The 17,845-nt window shown below is 39.7% G+C and overlaps 1 protein-coding gene and 2 long non-coding RNA genes across 7 annotated transcripts in view; 2 read left to right on the top strand and 1 right to left on the bottom strand.

Annotated features, from left to right (window-relative positions):
* ITPR2 (inositol 1,4,5-trisphosphate receptor type 2) overlaps positions 1 to 4,493 on the top strand; it is a 497,843-nt gene extending 493,350 nt beyond the window's left edge. For all 5 annotated transcript variants that reach the window (NM_001414174.1, NM_001414175.1, NM_002223.4 and 2 more), the window contains one exon: positions 362 to 4,493. In NM_001414174.1, coding sequence (NP_001401103.1) covers positions 362 to 448 — 87 coding nt within the window. In that variant the 3' untranslated portion in view covers positions 449 to 4,493. The remainder of the gene's footprint in view (positions 1 to 361) is intronic.
* The window catches only part of ITPR2-AS2 (ITPR2 antisense RNA 2), a 103,881-nt gene that overhangs the window by 82,960 nt on the left and 3,076 nt on the right, over positions 1 to 17,845 (bottom strand). The gene's annotated exons all lie outside the window — the stretch shown is intronic.
* On the top strand, positions 7,780 to 16,925 carry LOC107984482 (uncharacterized). Its single transcript, XR_001749054.2, has 3 exons — positions 7,780 to 8,059; positions 13,369 to 13,461; positions 16,650 to 16,925. It is a non-coding gene; the product is annotated as an uncharacterized LOC107984482 (long non-coding RNA).

Below are 17,845 nucleotides of genomic sequence, written 5' to 3'. Positions count from 1 at the left end.
CCTCATTAGTATCTGCCATTTCAATGCTATAATGAACCCCTTTATCATATAAAATTGTTAGTAAAAATATCAACAGTAACCATGGTAGCTATTAAAATGACTGTGGTGATGGTGACAGCTATGTGACAGGCAAGATCTGTTTTCTAAAATGGCTCCTGCTTCCTAACCACACAGAGGGGTTTGCTCTTTTTCTCTGTTTATGGAAATTCACTTTTAAAAAAATCCCTTTTTTGATAAATATATTCTATATGATGCTGGACAGTAGGTAGTTGGGGAATATTAACTCAAAACGGTTGTGGCCCACCAGCACTGGGTAAGAGTGAGAAAATCCGCTGAACACACACTCTCTCTTTTCCCCCAGATGACAGAACAAAGGAAGAATAAGCAGAGACTGGGCTTCCTCGGATCAAACACACCCCATGTGAATCATCACATGCCACCACACTGATACCATGGGGGGAAGCCGTGACTAGCCTTTCATCAGTGTCCTGCCTGATCACTGAATAAAGAACTGAGATGGAGGGGAGTGAACAGTGCCTATTGTTGAAAAGTTAAAAACAACCAAGTGCCAAGATGTTGAGTGGGTTAGCTCCGAGAACAATTTATAACTGTGTTTTCATGGTTGCGAAGACCTAACCTCAAATGCATCTGCTAGAAAGCGTACATCACACATTCGCAATGCATCAGGAAGAAAAGGCTTGCCCAAAAGGCTGGAGAGGGCAGGGAGCGGCAGGATGGAAGGAGACACGGGGCAGGGAGAACTCTCTTCTGCTAAATCGATAGGAGTCAGTTTTGTCTTAAATGCTGACTACAGCCACTGACATGGTTGGCTGGAATTTCTTTCTTTTAATTGTGGCATATAGGTTTGTGACACAAGAAGTCATACTTTGGTGGCTAAGTTTTACTAAGGAAAATAACTGAAAAGATTAAAAGTGAGAGCTGAAAAGAGAAATGATAATGCTTCCAAACTGTAGCTGTCACAGGGCAATTTCTTTATTTATAACATGAAGCACAATGGATTTACAGCTCTAGGAACTTAGTACTTTGGAGCTTTTGCCTCTCACACTGACAACATAACAGGATGTGATTGCCTTCTCTGGGATTCAGACAGGCTCTGTCAATGTGGAGCACAAAAGGAGATTTTCATATAACTTGTTAAAAACATGTTCTAAGTCATGTATAGGCTAAGATTTTAAGAAGATCTGGGGGAATAAAAAGCCAACAGTAAGCCCCAGGAAAGGGTTTTTTGAGACCATATGTATGCTATTAAAATATATTGAGATTAATACATGAAAATGCTTAAAAGTGATAGGAATTATTGAGAAACTTATGATGGTGGCATTGCCTTTTATAAACATGGAGTGAAAGCCATTTGACTCAACGTTTGCTGTGCTTAAAGAATTGCTTCAGGACCCGAGCGTTTTTATGTATGCTGTTCCTGCAGTTAGGAAAAAAAAATCCAAGAAATGTATTGAATACTCAAGAAAATGCCACATTTCAATTACATATTTAAAACTGTATCTGTAAGGGCTTTTCAAAATGTAGCAAGATAAAAATCTCTTATTCAAATTGTTTTTGTATTAAATCATGCACTCAGAATTTGTCGAGGGAGAGAATAACCTGGTGTGTTCAGGTTATTCTTAGAGACTACACATTTGGAATAGCAGAGCAAAATATGGATAATGAAAGTGTTGGGAAAAAAGTGATGTGACAGGGAGTGAAGACACTTGATACCAGACTCTGGGAGATACTCTGCAAGTTGACCTGGCCTCTCCCCCACAGGAACAAAACACTGCCTCCAGAGTCTTTAAATTCTCAGTTATCAACGCCAAGGTTTAAGGTCTAGATAGGGTTTGCTATAGGGTTTGCTCTGACAATTTTTAAAGCTTTTGGATTGTTCTAACATAGCTTAAGCTATTGGTTCCTAAAAATCCCAAATCAAGATCTATGTAGAATATAAAGGAAGCCTGAACCAATCCTTCCACATACTGTTAAGATGTAGACTTGGAACAAAGCTGTTGGGACCCAGAGCAATGAATTTTTGAACTGAAGCTACTGGTACTCCCCAGCACCACCTCATACTAAGAATTCCTCACTCTGACATGACAGTATTTTTTCTGACCAGGAGCTGAAAGACCCTGACATTCATGATCCAAAGATATAAGAAATTTTGATATGTCTGCATGCAGCACAGAACTTTGAACCTAGGAGGCAGTCAATAAATACATGAGAAATTCAGCTGTCATTCAGTTACTCTTAATTCTTTATAAAACTTTAAATGATACCACATATTTGTTTGTTTAAAATGGCTTTCCCAAAATCAAAGTAGACTAAAGCAGCCATCTTTAAAATCCAGGATCATCAATGCTATTAACAGTATCAGGTAAAAAGTACACTTTAAAATATTTTAATCAGGCAGAGTTTTATGGATAGAGAATAGAAGAGAAAGGTAGTAAATATTGAACATATTCCAATATAGGAACCTATCTCTGTTTTAGTACAAAATATTTCTGACATCTGAACTAGAGGTCAAGAGAATAAATTCATTTGTATACATCTGAGCAACCTGTCTTTCAGATGATAAAGTATCTAGCCTTTTCTGACACCATAATAGTTCATTTTGTAGGGAATAAGCCATTAGGTGTATATAATTGCTTTCTAGAAATGACCTAATGTCCCCAACCACTTTGTAGTGGCAGATCACTGTTTCACAGCATATTTTCTCCCAAGGAAAGTATTCAAAAGAGACTGCAACTAACAAGACTCTTATTTCATCAAAATTTAAATATTTCTGAGTTGTATTTTTAATGCCTCTTTCTTTTCTGCCTAAATGCTTAGAAATTATAAAGCAAAAAAAAAAAAAACAGCAACAAAAAATCGAAGCAGACAAAAAAGGCACTTTTCAGAACATCAAATTCCTAATGAAGAAGAGGAGAAGATAATGGGGAAATTTGACATTTGATATAAATTTATATTTGTTATGTGTATGTTTGTTAATGCAACTGGAATATTTGACTTAGGTGAGTATCAGTTAACATCCTTGTATTTATATAGTGACATCAAAATAAATGCAATCATCTTGAACTTTGATGTTAAGGGAGATTTTGAAAAAATATTTAGTTATTTCAAATTCATATTGGTTCAAAAGTATCAGTTTCTGCTGAATAATATTTTTAATTTCAAAAGGGTTTTGTTCCCTCTGTGCTCCATTCTGAGGCTCAAGAGCTTAATGCCAGTATGTTTTCTGAGTTAAAATAACACTTTTAGATGAGAAAATGCTTGTATCATACAGGGCTATAATATAAATAAATAAATTGTATGTATGCAAAATTTATCATATTTTCTACCCCTTAAAAAATTAAGTTAGAAATAAGCTTATTTTCTTGCACATCAATATTTTTCTGTTGGTAAAGAGGACACAATTTCTAGTAGATTGTTAATAACATCAGGAAGATATTTCTTTCGTCAGAACTAATTGTGTGCTTATTCCCATATTCTCAGCTCATAACTCCCTGTTTTGGCTGCTCTCTTTATTTTACAATTGTTTCATTGCAAACAGCAAGGCAGTATAGCCCACACTCAGCCACTAGCCCCCAGTCCCCAGGACTGAGAATGAGTGGGGAGGCTGGGGAGTTGGTGAGAGAAGGTGGAGATAGGGATTTCTGCTTCCCAGTACTCTATCATTAGAGAAAAGGAGGGGTAAATATTAGCTAAGAAGAAGAAAAAAGCTTATTCTTCAGGGACCCAGTAGATTGGACGTAAGCAAGTAAATATTGCACAGGCATCATGATGTAATAGTTGATGGACCCCAGAGATACCCCTCACCCATGCAGAGAACAAAGCTGTGTGGAAGAGCAACTACCATAAGATGGTGTGTTCCTTCCAGCGGCTGTTAAAGCCATCCTGAATAACAAATCAGCTATTCCTACCTACAGACCCATTCCAATATGCTGTGATACACGACACGGTGCACCGCAGAGGAGACAGACATCTTCAGCACAAACACAGATGCCTGCAGGAGCTTGGCAAGTCACTAAATTGCATGAAATTGTGAGGTGCACACCAAATGCAGGGATGGGGGAGGCCGTGGGAAGCTCTGTATTCTCAAAATTTGACAGCTAATTCCGGTTTTTAGAAAATGCCTGAGGCCAGTAGAGGCCCTCTAGTCACTCACTGCTGCTGTTTCTGATATAATTATTGAGAAAGCTATCTCACTTAATAGAAGAAAACACGCACTATCAAAACCAGATAGCCTAACGTGCATGTGAAAATCGAGAAAGCTGAAAACAAATCCAGGTACCCTTCTCTGAACTGGAGTGTTTCCACAGACTTGAATAATTTATGAAATTATCACACCAGTATTTCTCATATCACCAAGAAGACTTTCTCTCCTGCAGTAGAGGATTGTTATATTTGCCTAAAAAACACGATTCCAATATATGACAAGGGCAGATAATTTATAAGTGAATGTTAATAAAATTGGATGTGTATAACTTTTTTGTTTGCAATACTTTAAAGTGCTTTATTCATTTCTTGCCATGTTTCTAAGTAATATCTGCATTGGTATGAAAAGGCATTATGATTGCTATTTTACATAGCAAGACATGAGGTATAAAAAATTTGGTGACTTGAACCACACCGATGAGCTAATCCAGATGGACTAGTGTGCCTAAGGCTTATTGGGATTTGGTCAATTCCCCAATGTACCAACTAGTACTGGTGCATCACATGGTGTCTGATGCCCTGCTTGAGCTCAGTGGGCACAGACCATTGGGTGGCTTAGGATTTCCTGATTCTTAACACGCACAGCTTTAAATGATAGTTCCCCTCAGAAAAGAACTGAGTGTGCAACAGCTGAAGTCAACATGGGTGGCACGAATCACATGCAATCTGGAAATAGAATTCTTTGTTCATCTGGGTATTTTCCAGTGTGCCACAGTTCCTTGAAGTAGTGTGGAAACATTTGTTTGTTTTGTTTGTAATCAGAGGAAAGGTTGGGGGAGGGCAATTGGATAGGGAGTTCCTCTTCCGGTGAGAGTAATTGGCACGAAGAGCGGGCAGTAGTGTGCATGTGGGGGCAGTGTGGTGGAAGTCCACAAGTCACCCTTCCTTTGCCTGGTCAACTGGGGTGCTTTGAGGGAGCCCTAGGAAGGCCTAATGTTCAGAGAACAACTCCAAGCCAGAATGTGTGTACTTCAGCCTCACCTATGTTCCTCGCCCACATCAGAGGTGCTGGCACCTCACACAGAGCCGCATGGCAAACAAAAACAGTTACCAAATGTGATGCTGGGAGAAAATGTATAGAAACAGAGATAAGTTGTTAAACTCCGTTTGACTCTGTTTCCCAGAAAATGATGGCTTTTACTGCTTCAGTGTGGATTTCCCCCCAGATTAGCCTTTTCCCCTTTAACTCTGGTCCTTGGGGCAAGATCAGCTCCAGGTAGAGTGGCCCTACTCACAGCTGTGGAAATGTGGCCACAGGCATGGATTTCCTCTACGATCCCCACCCCAGCACATCCTTGCAAAGCTCCCCTCCCCTCAGGTCTACTTGCATAGGACAGAGCTGCTTTGAAGGCTGCTCCCTGCTCTAATGACTGTGCTTTCTGGTTTTTTTGGTAATAATTATCTTCACTTTGGACAATTGTATCCTCCTTTCTCTATACCATAACTCACTCCCTCTTCCCCTTCAACGTGGGTCAGGTGTATCTTTGTGATCTTGGACTTCTAAGCACTAAATTCGAATAAAAAGTCTGTAACCACAATACCTTAAAATTAGGCCCTGCAAACTATCTGATCTTTGACAAACCTGACAAAAACAAGAAATGGGGAAAGGATTCCCTATTTAACAAGTGGTGCTGGGAAAACTGGCTAGCCATATGTAGAAAGCTGAAACTGGATCCCTTCCTTACACCTTATACAAAAATTAATTCAAGTTGGCTTAAAGACTTAAATGTTAGACCAAAAACCATAAAAACCCTAGAAGAAAACCAAGGCGATACCATTCAGGACATAGGCATGGGCAAGGACTTCAGGTCTAAAACACCAAAAGCAATGGCAACAAAAGCCAAAATTGACAAATGGGCTCTAATTAAACTAAAGAGCTTCTGCACAGCAAAAGAAACTACCATCAGAGTGAACAAGCAACCTACAGAATGGCAGAAAATTTTTGCAATCTACTCATCTGGCAAAGAGCTAATATCCAGAATCTACAAAGAACTCAAACAAATTTACAAGAAAAAAACAACCCCATCAAAAAGTGGGTGAAAGATGTGAACAGACACTTCTCAAAAGAAGTCATTTATGCAACCAACAGACACATGAAAAAATGCTCACCATCACTGGCCATCAGAGAAATGCAAATCAAAACCACAATGAGATATCATCTCACACCAGTTAGAATGGTGATCATTAAAAAGTCAGGAAACAACAGGTGCTGGAGAGGATGTGGAGAAATAGGAACACTTTTACACTGTTGGTGGGACTGTAAACTAGTTCAACCATTGTGGAAGACAGTGCGGCGATTCCTCAGGGATGTATAACTAGAAATACCATTTGACCCAGCCATCCCATTACTGGGTATATACCCAAAGGAATATAAATCGTGCTACTATAAAGACACATGCACATGTATGTTTATTGCGGCACTGCTCACAAGACTTGGAACCAACTCAAATGTCCAACAATGATAGACTGGATTAAGAAAATGTGGCACATATATACCATGGAATACTATGCAGCCTTAAAAAAAATGATGAGTTCATGTCCTTTGTAGGAACATGGATGAAGCTGGAAACCATCATTCTCAGCAAACTATCGCAAGGACAAAAAACCAAACATCACATGTTCTCACTCATAGGTGGGAATTGAACAATGAGAAAACTTGGACACAGGAAGGGGGATATCACACACCAGGGCCTGTTGTGGGGTGGGCGGGGGGGGGATAGCATTAGGAGATATACCTAATGTAAATGACGACTTAATGGGTGCAGCACACCAACATGGCACATGTATACATATGTAACAAACCTGCACGTTGTGCACATGTACCCTAGAACTTAAAGTATAATAAAAATATATATATATTAAAAATTAGGCCCTATGGTGTTAAAAATATGAATGTACAACTATCAATTAGGGTCTATCAGGGAAACAAAATCAGTATGGGTATCCTGGGCTGAAAATTTTATTTTAGGCATTAGATACCATGCAGTTATGGTAAAGACCTCTCCGGAAAGCTAATGCTTCTGTGTCTGGTGGTAGGCCTTAAGTCACTGTGAGTCAGTTGGGCTGGCAGTCAGGAAGGAAAGCTGGGTATGAAGCGGGAGAGAGCGAAGACAAGCCGGACTCATGAAGACAAGCTGGACTCATGAAGACTCATGAAGACAAACCAAAATTTGCATCTAGCTCTCACCACCTCCAAACTCCATAGTGTGGGTGACCTAAAAACAAAGCTGGCACCCTTCCTCATGGCATTGCATGTGCATCTGACCCAGGACTCAGATGAGCTGAAGGAAGAGATCTCATGGGAGCTGGAGGACTGTGGGCTAGCTACTGCCCACACCAACAGAGTGAGCCAGGAGATGAGGCTGGGAGCTGCAGCGGCACCTGTTGCCTGCTCCTTCTGAGCTTAGTGACTGTGCATCACTTCCACTTTCCAAATCTCGTGAAAATATCTCCTGTGGTCATATCTAATGTGTAACTCTATGAGTAAGGGAATTCTAAGAAATTCTGTAGTTCCGGGTTAGCTAGTTATATAGTTCAGAACCTCTCCACTGGAGTAGACCTCAGTAGTGATACCCCTTTGCCTAGTTTATGCACAGAAGTCACGCTTCTCAGCACCCATTGCAACTGAGTGGCAACACATGGCTACTTCTCACCAATGGATTGTGAGGCCAGCTGACAATCTGAGGCTTCAAAAGCCCCTATACAGCTCTCAGTTCTTTTCCTGCCACATCAATCATGGAGGCCAAGACGGAACCACCCTAAATCCCTGAGATTTAAATCTCTGAATCTTTGAAGGGAACTACCCTGGAGAACCTTGAGACCCACAGCAGAATTGGTGAGAAATAAACTTTTATGTGTTAAGCCATTAAAATTTAAGGATTTTTATTTCTTTTTGGTGTTGTTAAATAAATGTATGTGATAACTTGTTACTGCAACATAACCCAGCCACCTGACTAACACAGACATATGTATTAGGCATCAGGATGTTACTAGTGGAAGAGATCTGAGTTACCCCGAGTTACTGGTAGCCAATCTGTACAGATCTGCAGCAACCTCAACTCTTGCCTTCTTGGAAGAAATAATTCAACTGAGGGGCATAAAGCATAAAAAGAGACTGAGGCAAGTTTCAGAGCAGGAGTGAAAAAGCTTTAGAACAGCAAGGAAAGGAAGGAAAGGAAAGAAGGGAAGTATAACTTGAAGAGGGCCAAGTGAATGACTTGAGAAACCAAGTGCGTAGCTTGACCTCTTGACTCGGGCCTACTTCCAGGATTTGCCTTACTTCCCCCAACTCCTGAGATCTTACTGGGAAGCTGCTGATCAGTTTCAGGTGTTTTCTGCCTGTTGGGAAACTGCCTTTCTCTGGTGCCAGCTGTGACCAATTACTACTTTAGAGAAACAGTTAACAAATGCCTGACCATCACCTGATGGTCGCCCAATGCTCTTGGTGTGTGTGTCAGGCTGGGGGTCCTCTCCTGCCCTGCTCATACATGACTAGCTACCTACTGTCATGAGAAAATTGACTCAAATACCTAACTTCTGGGATTTATCCAAGAAAAATATAAACTAAGAAAAAGATCTGTACAGTTGTACCTTGGTATTTGGGGAGTACTGGTTCCAGGACCTCCCCCACCCACAGATATTGATATTGAATTCCACAGATTTTCAAGTCCCTGATATAAAATGACATAGTATTTTTATATAACCAACAAACCTCCTTCTGTGTACTTTAAATCATCTCTAAGTTACTTACAACACCTAATACAATGTAAATGCTATATAAGTTGCTATTATGCTGTATTGTTTAGGAGATAATGACAAGAAAAAAAGTCTGTACATGTTCAGTACAGATGTAAACATTAATTTCTTTTCCCAAATATCTTTTATCTGCAGTTGATTGACTCCACAGATGCAGGACCTACAGATACAGAGGGCCAGCTGTGTATACAAAATACTCATCATATTATTATTTATAATTTAAAAATTGAACATAGTCCAAATGTCCAGCGACTTGGGTGTGTTTAAAATTTTATAATTGAGACATAGGTTGGAATGTTATGAAACCTATGAGAAGTATATACATTGAGGCAATACTGGTAAATAGGCAGAATAAATGTTTTAAATGGCTACAAAATTGTATATACACTATTATCTTCACGATATAAAAAAGCCAACTTCTCCAAAAAACTTGAACAGAATATAGTACAATGATATTCATTGTAAAATAGCTGTAGGGTATACATTATTTTCCTTTTTCTTTACTTTCTAAACTTTTTATCATTTTAAAAGTTGCTTTTATAGTGTAATAATAACATTTTTAAAAAGAAATGAAGATCCTAATGACTAAAATCCAGCAAGTATTTCCTAAGAACAAGTTCTTCCAAACTCATTTGCATTTTGATAGGATCACTAGAATTGTAGATTAAGTGAACACCATAGCCACAGTTTAAATTGATTTCAACAAGACATTTAAGAAAAGTTTCCATGATGTTCCTGTTGACAAGATAGAGAAATTTGTCCTGGATGAGAATGGAGCTTACCAATTTGCATGCAAGTGAACAATTTCACTTAATATGAGACTAGAGTAAAATATCCTTGGCCTGCTGTTAGATCTCTGTCCTTGGCTTTTCCCAACCAACATTTATTTAAATGTCTGGAAGAAAGAAATAACAAAATTATAAAATGTGGAAATGACATAAAGTTGGAAAGTAGATTTAACATGATTGATGACAGAGTAACAATAATATCAGAAAACTGGAACAATGAACAAAGCTATTTTGAATAACTTTAACTGAAAAATGCAAAGTTTAGCTCCAAAAAGCTCAGTTTCATAAATATAGGATAGAACAGATAGCCATTCATGTGAAAAACAAACAAATATTGAGATTTTTGAATAGCCTCTACCTCCATGCCTATATATTTATTTGTCTCAACAAATATTTATTTAGTACTTGTTATATTTAAGGAATTTTTCAGTGGTCCAGGCAAGACAGGATAGTGGTTTTATCTTAAGGAGTTGGCTCTAGGGACAGAAAAAGGAGTTGGTTACAAAAAGTATTCAAAATGATGAGCTTATCCTTGAATATGTGAGTTTTAGTTATTTTAGAGACACCCAGGAAGAAATATTTGTTTGACCATTGGATATATAGGTCTAGACTCTGAAAAAAAGCTAGGGCTAGAAATAAAAGATGACAGAGTCATCGGGACATACATGGTAATGAGATCAAAGGAACGAATGAATGCTGAAAGAGAGAGTAGATATTAAGAAGAGAAGTTTGAGGACACAGCCCCGAAGAAAATCTAGCAAAAAATATTAAAATAAGAAAGAAAACCAGTGAGCTAGTGAGAGAACAAAAAGAAATGAAGAAATGATGTTTCAGAAGTTAAGAGAAGAGTTTCAAAAAGATGTAGAACTTCCAGGCAAGTATGCAGGTAGACCATCAGAGCCTGATTAGCTCTTCCGAACTCTGTATTCACAAGCATAGAGAAACCAGAAAGGAAACCATACCTCATAGTACAACATAAAAACAAAATATCTTAATCATTCGTTGACTAAATAACATAATACCATTACTGAAGCTAAGAAAAGTCTGTTAAGGAACTTTTCTAACTGTGTCTTGTACAACACACTAGACATTCCATTCTGAGAATTAGTTCATGGATAGCTGAAAGAAAGAAATTAGGAGAAAACTTTGACTGATTCCCACAATTTGTCACTGATTTCAGGACATGGGCCACACTCATCTGGATAGGTGGCCATCCCATTTATTTATTTATTTATTTATTTATTTATTTATTTATTTATTTTTAATTTTTGTTTTTTTGAGACAGCATCTTGCTATGTCACCCAGGCTGTAGTGCAGTGGCAAGATCTTGGCTCACTGCAGCCACCGCCTCCCGGGCTCAAACAATTCTCCTGCGTCAGCCTCCTGAGTAGCTGGGATTACAGATGTGTGCCACCACGCCTGGCTAATTTTTGTATTTTTAGTAGAGATGGGATTCACCATGTTAGCCAGGCTGATCTCAAACTCCTGACCTCATGACCCACCCGCCTTGGCCTCCCAAAGTGCTGAGATTACAGGCCACCACCTCCCGACCAGCCATCCCTTTTAACACGAGAACTATTTCTGAGTTCTTCAGTTCCAGTGTCAACTTCCCCTTTCTCTCTTGCATTTCCATCAGATCTTCTCATTCCACCTCTAAAGATAAACTTCCTGTGCTTGACACTACAGGAAGTAGAACAGGCTAGGAGAGAAGCTAAGTGCATCTTGGCATATTTAATCAATGAAGGAAAGTGTTAGGAGCCTGGGTAGGAAGATTTCTGGGACTAGTACTTGCTGCGGCACTGTAGGTCTGTGTATATATATTAGTGGAAAATAATGCACTGACTCTGACTTTAAGAGAAGCTAGAATCAGTGTGGGAGGATGCACTTTGGCTCTCTAAGGGTTGCTTATTGGGCACTGCAATTTGGGCTGCCAGCCATGCCTATCAACCTGCCTCAAGCAAGAAGAGCAAAGAGGAAGTGAGGAAAATGTTCTACTAAAAGGAACTCTGCATTCTTCTTCCTTCAGCATTGCTGATTGAGAGCACCTGGAAAGGTGGTGCAGAATTGCTTCAGTGTAGCAGGAGATGCCCTAGAGAAGCCAGCCTTGCCAAACTTTCAAGTCAGCCTTCACACAGTAGGGATGCCACTGAATATCGAACTAAAGGAAGTGGTGGCAGAAGAGCCTTCTCTGCATTTCAATTTTTTAATACCCCTCTAAATTTGATTACAGGAAAAACTATAAATAGTATGATTGATAGAAGATTTTAAGTGAGAAGCACATTACTATTAGTTCAAACTCACCTGTAATAGGCTCCAATGTTCTGGCTTCAAGATACACAGCAGGTGGCAATTTGCCTGTGCTACTCAACAATTTCAACATAGTTCTACTGCTTCGATACATACATTGTAGCATGTCCCTTTCTTGGCTTAAAATAACGCAGCAGGGCTGTGTGTGGGCATGCACACAGATAAACACAAGTAATAAATGCACTATATTACAAAGTATTGAGACTGATTTTGTTTGCACCCTTCACGATCTCATTATTCTTTAACCCCCGGGCTGGCTCAGTGAATGAACTATGAAGGCAGCCAACACACACAGCATGATGGTCAATTCTGGGAGGGCCATGCCCCTCCCTGCTTGGCCAGACTCCACTGTCTCCTATCTGATTTGAATTGTCCATTATTCATTAGTCACTTTTTAAAATTTAATATAATTGTGGAAGAATTGGGTATAAAGTGGGTAAATGGCTTTAGAAGACACTCTATTGAAAAAGCACTGTTGGGAGGAGAGTGATGACTGTGATAGCCTGTCACTTTTCCATTAGATCATATTGGCTAATAGTCGATGATGTACCCCTAAATGTGGTAATTTGTTGAGTGCCAACTCTGTGCCTATATCTTCTAGGGGAGAGTGGCAGGCAGGGAGTGAATCAAAATAAAAAGATATGGCATGTCTTAAAATGACTTAACAGCTACTGAGAAGTACAGGTGCACAGACAATTTTGAAGCCAGGTGGCAGGTGAGATAAGAGAGGTAGACTGTGGGACCCAGAGGAAGGCGCTTGGAGGAGAGGAGAGAGAGGATCACAGATGGAGAATTCACATTCTTGTAAAACTAGTAACAGCTAACATTCCCTGTATGCGTCCTCAGGGTCAGGTCCTCTTCTAAGTTTGAACTTATTTAATGCTCATACAACTCCATGAAATAAGTATATAATTATCTCTAGTTTAAAGATGAGGAAACTGAGGCATGGGGTGGTTGAGCAATTTGCCAAAAGTTTCACAACAGGTAAGTGGTGATGAGAATAGAGGCAGTGTCATTCCAGAATCCATCCTTTTAGCCTACATTCTGTGCCCTAAAGACAAATAGAGATGTGGGATGAATAAGGTTCAAGGAGGAATGGGACTGTAGCTATTAAGACTGCATGTTCTTGGCCCTACACACCAAATTCATATGCTGAAATCCTAACCTGCAGTATGATGGTATTAGGAGAAGGGTCCTTTGAGGAGTAATTAAGTAGAGGCCTCATGTGTGGAATGAGTGCCTTTACCAGAGGAACCCACAGAGCTCTCTCTCTTTCCATCCTGTGATGATACAGTGAGAAGTCATCAGCCTGCAACCCAGAAGAGGACCTTCACCAGGAACCGTATCAGCTGACACCGTGATCTTGGACTTCTCAGCCTCCAGAACTGTGAGATATAAATTTCTGTTGTTTAAGCCATCCAGTATACGGTATTCTGTTATGGCAGCCCAAACAACTAAGACCACCGCAGTGTTTTTTAATATTTAAAGTAAGGTAAAAGCAGGAGGAAAGCTAGGCAACTCTTGGAACAGGAACATTCAGGATAAACACCTGAAAGAAGCGAAGTAATGAAGCCAAGCTCTACCTCTTCCTACCTTTATTAACAAACATCCATCAGGCCCAGGATCATCCCAGGCACTGAGCAAGGCACTGGGGATACAAAGATAAATAAAACAAGCATTGTTTTGGGGGAGCTCACATTTCAAGGATGTGATAAGCCAAAAATAGATTTTAATACAATGTAGTAAATCTATTGGCAGGGTATAGAAGGTGCTGTGGGCGCTCAAAAGAAGAAGTTGCTACGTCCAAAGTGTTGAGAGAGACTGTGAAGAATTGAATGGGAATTTAGAAGTGGCCAAGGAAAGGGCTCAGGGAGAGGGACACTGAAGTCGCAGGAAGCGTGAAAGCAAACTGAGAGAGCGGAGAGAAAGAAACAGGCTTCATGGAACAGCCAGTCAAAAGGGCCTTTGTGTCATGGAGAGGTAGCTGTGAAATTGTTCTAGATTATTATCCCAAGGAATAATGGGGGAAGCCCCAAAGCTTTTATACAGGAAGCAGAACCCAATCATGTTTAGTTTTAGGGATATGACTGGAGGAAGAAGGAAGGAAGGATGGTGTATTAGGGTTCTCTAAAGGGACAGAACAAATAGGATATTCATTAGGATATATATACATATACATATTAGTATATATGTATATATGTATGTATATATGTATGTATATAAAGGGGAGTTTATTAAGTATTAAATCACATGATCACACGGTCTCACAATAGGCTGTCTGCAAACTGAGAAGCAAGGAAAGCCAGTTCAAGTCCCAAAACTGAAGAACTTGGAGTCCGATGTTCGAGGGCAGGAGGGATACAGCATGGGAGAAAGATGTAGGCCAAGCTAGCCTTTTCACATTTTTCTGTCTGCTTTATATTCCAGCTGGGCTGGCAGCTGATTAGATTGTACCCACCCAGATTAAGGGTGGGTCTGCCTTTCCCAGCCCACTGACTCAAATGTTAGTCTCCTTTGGCAACACCCTCACAGACACACCCAAGATCAATACTTTGCATCCTTCAATCCAGTCAAGTTGATGCTCAATATTAACCATCACAGATGGGTTAGAGAGGAAGAAGCCATTGACAGGAAGCTCAGCTCGATTGAAGGTTGTTACAAAGATCCACCCAAGAGAACAGAAGGCCTGTCCCAGAGCAGTGGTTGTCTGATGAATAAACAAGAACAGACCCAAGAGACATGAATGAGGTAGAGGTCCAGGATTTTAGATCAATAATAAGTCAGGAAGGAAGAGTTTTTCAGGATTAGCTGAAAGTTCTAATTTGGGAGACAGAGTAAATGTCATTAGCAGGGAGAGAAAATTCTGAAGAGTGATTATGTTAGTGACCTGTTGAGCTTGAGGAATCTACAAGGCATCCAGATGAATATTATAGTACACTCTCTAATTGCTGTGGCAAAATAATATCATCATTTTGTTTTCCTAACACCTTATTTGGAACGCCAGACAGCTTCACTGAAAAAATACGACAGATAGTAGATATTAGGTAGTTGAATCAGTTCCTTGGATATTCTAGATAGAGAAGCAATGATCACAAAGTACTTTGAGTTCAGTTAAGAAGAACCAAGGTTTGTGTTGAGTTTTATAGTGCTTTGACATATGTTGTTTCTTTTAATCCTTCCAGCAGTCCTAAAGGCAGGCAATATTTAATATCTTTCCATTTTTATAGATGAGGAATCTGAGTCCAATTCAGTTGTCTTAGTTACCACATAATGAGTAGCAGAGCTCCAGCATGACCACCTCTTTCCTCCTTTGCCTCTAGAGAGAGATCATCCTCATGAGACTGCAAACCCAGTGAGGGCAGGAGGGTGATCTTGTGACCCTGACACCAGGCACAATGCCTAGTGTTTGGTAGCATGGAATCATCTGATTGTGGAATGAATGAATGGATGCCACACATCTAACATTATAGAATTATTTACCTTATCAAATAACATGACTACATCCTGAGTAAATATTTCTGGTGGAAATGAAAAATTAAGAACACTAGCCAGGCAGGTTCTACTTGATGTGAAATAGCGGGGAGAGTGAGTAGATTCTATTGGTAAAAATAACAAATATGGAGAATTAACATTTTAAAAATGAATATATAAAAAGAGATGTTTCTATGTAATATAATTAATTTCCCAAACTACTGGCAGGAAGACCCTTTCCTGAATCCCACCTGAACAAGTGTTTTTGTTGCTTGCTTTCCAAGGGTGTGTCTGCACATCGACTCTCATCACCTTCTCTGTCTGCCTCTCTCTGTTTTATCGCATGACATTTTCATTGAGCTATTGAAATTGGATGTGTCAGACACATTAAAAGCAATGGCAGCTGTGGCAAGTTAGTTGATATATTTTAAAATAAACCAAGAGGGCCATGCAGATGTCAGGGGAATAAATTGCTCTGTTTAGCAACAAGTGATTTATTTAACCACTGTAGACAGGGTCCAAAGGAATGCCAAGCTGCATACATTTTGGTTGGGAAAAGCTGAGCTATTTTCTCAGAAATCTCTCCTGTGGGATCAAAATAAGAGTGGGAGAAGTTTATGAGAAGATTAATTAAATTCTTGATTTGGGAATGACCCTGAAGAATGAGTTTTATTTCCCATGTGCTTCAAAATTGACCTCTCAGTGTTTCTGCAGGTGAGACACATTCTGGAAGCATCAGGTATTGGCAATAACCCTGACTTCATGGGCATCACTCAAACTGCAGCAGCAGCATTTCTCTCTAGCTTGTCTTTGAGGGCAAAGTGTGATGTTTCCAAGAGAGTGATAAAAAAAAAAAAGGCCCGAGGCTGGGATTTCACTCTTTCTTCCTCTCGCCATTCAACCTTGGCTAGTGACTGCTAGATACAAAGTAATCAATAAATGTGAATTGATGGGAATTTAAAGTTGCAGACGTGTGGCACAGCAGTGAAAGCACAGGCTCTGGAAACAGAAGGTCCAGATTTGCATCCTGGTTCTGTCGCTTAATCACCATGTGCCCATGAACCAGTTTCTGACCTTTCTTTGCTTCATTTTTCTCATCCATAGATGAAGATAGGAACACTACTCACCACATACAATGGATGTGAAGTTAAGTAAGTTACTGCAGTCATAGAAGAGGTACCACCTGCAATGATGACTTCACCTATCCACATCATCAGTTCTCCTGTCTATTGGTTCATTCCCCCTAGCATACATATGTTGTACTCGCCCCTTTAAAAAGAATCTGCGATCCTACATCCTCCTTCAGTTGTGACCTTATTCTCTTTCTCTCATTTACGTCAAAACTCCTGGAAAACAGAGAGTAGAAGGATGATTACCAGAGGCTGGGAAGGGTAGTTGGGGATTGGGGGAAGGTGGGGATGGTTAATAGGTATGAAAAAAATAGAAAAAAATGAATAAGACCTACTGTTTGATAGAACAATAGGGTGACTATAGCCAATGGTAACTTAATTATATATTTAAAAATAACATAGAGAATGTAATTGGATTGTTTGTAACTTAAAGGATAAATGCTTGAGGAGATGGACACCTCATTCTTCATGATGTGCTTATTTAACATTGCATGTCTGTATCAAAACATCTAATGTACCCCATAAATATATACACCTACTATGTACCTACACAAATTTTTTAACATAATTAAAAATTAAAAATACGTAAATAAATTGCTTTTTTTTTTTTTTGAGACACAGTCTGGCTCTGTCGCCTAGGCTGGAGTGTAGTGGCATGATCTCGGCTCTCTGCAACCTCCACTTCCCAGGTTCAAGCGATTCTCCTGCCTCAGCCTCCTGAGTTGCTGGCATTATAGGCACCCACCACCACACCCAGCTAATTTTTGTATTATTAGTAGAGATGGGGTTTGTTTCACCATGTTGGCCAGGCTGCTCTCGAACTCCTGACCTCATGTGATCCCCCATCTCAACCTCCCAAAGTGCTGGGGTTACAGGCATGAGCCACTGCACCTGGCCCGATAAACTGCATTTTTGAAACAATAAAAGAAACTCATGGAAAGAATTGTGCATTTGCTCTTTGATCCACTCAGGCTTTTACCTCCAGTGTTCAAATGAAACTATTCATCCAAATCACCTGTGCCCTTCATCTTGCCTAATCTAAAGGTTCATTCTTACATCTCATGAGACTCGACTTTTCAGCAGCATTGACCCATTCCTGACTCCCTTCATCATTCTTAAAACACGACTCTTTCCTGGTTTTTTTCTTACTCTACTATTTGCTCTTTCTCA

This window comes from Homo sapiens, chromosome 12 (assembly GCF_000001405.40).
Source record: "Homo sapiens chromosome 12, GRCh38.p14 Primary Assembly".
Classification (NCBI taxonomy): Eukaryota; Metazoa; Chordata; class Mammalia; order Primates; family Hominidae; genus Homo; species Homo sapiens.
This window is presented reverse-complemented; position numbering and strand designations above follow the sequence as displayed.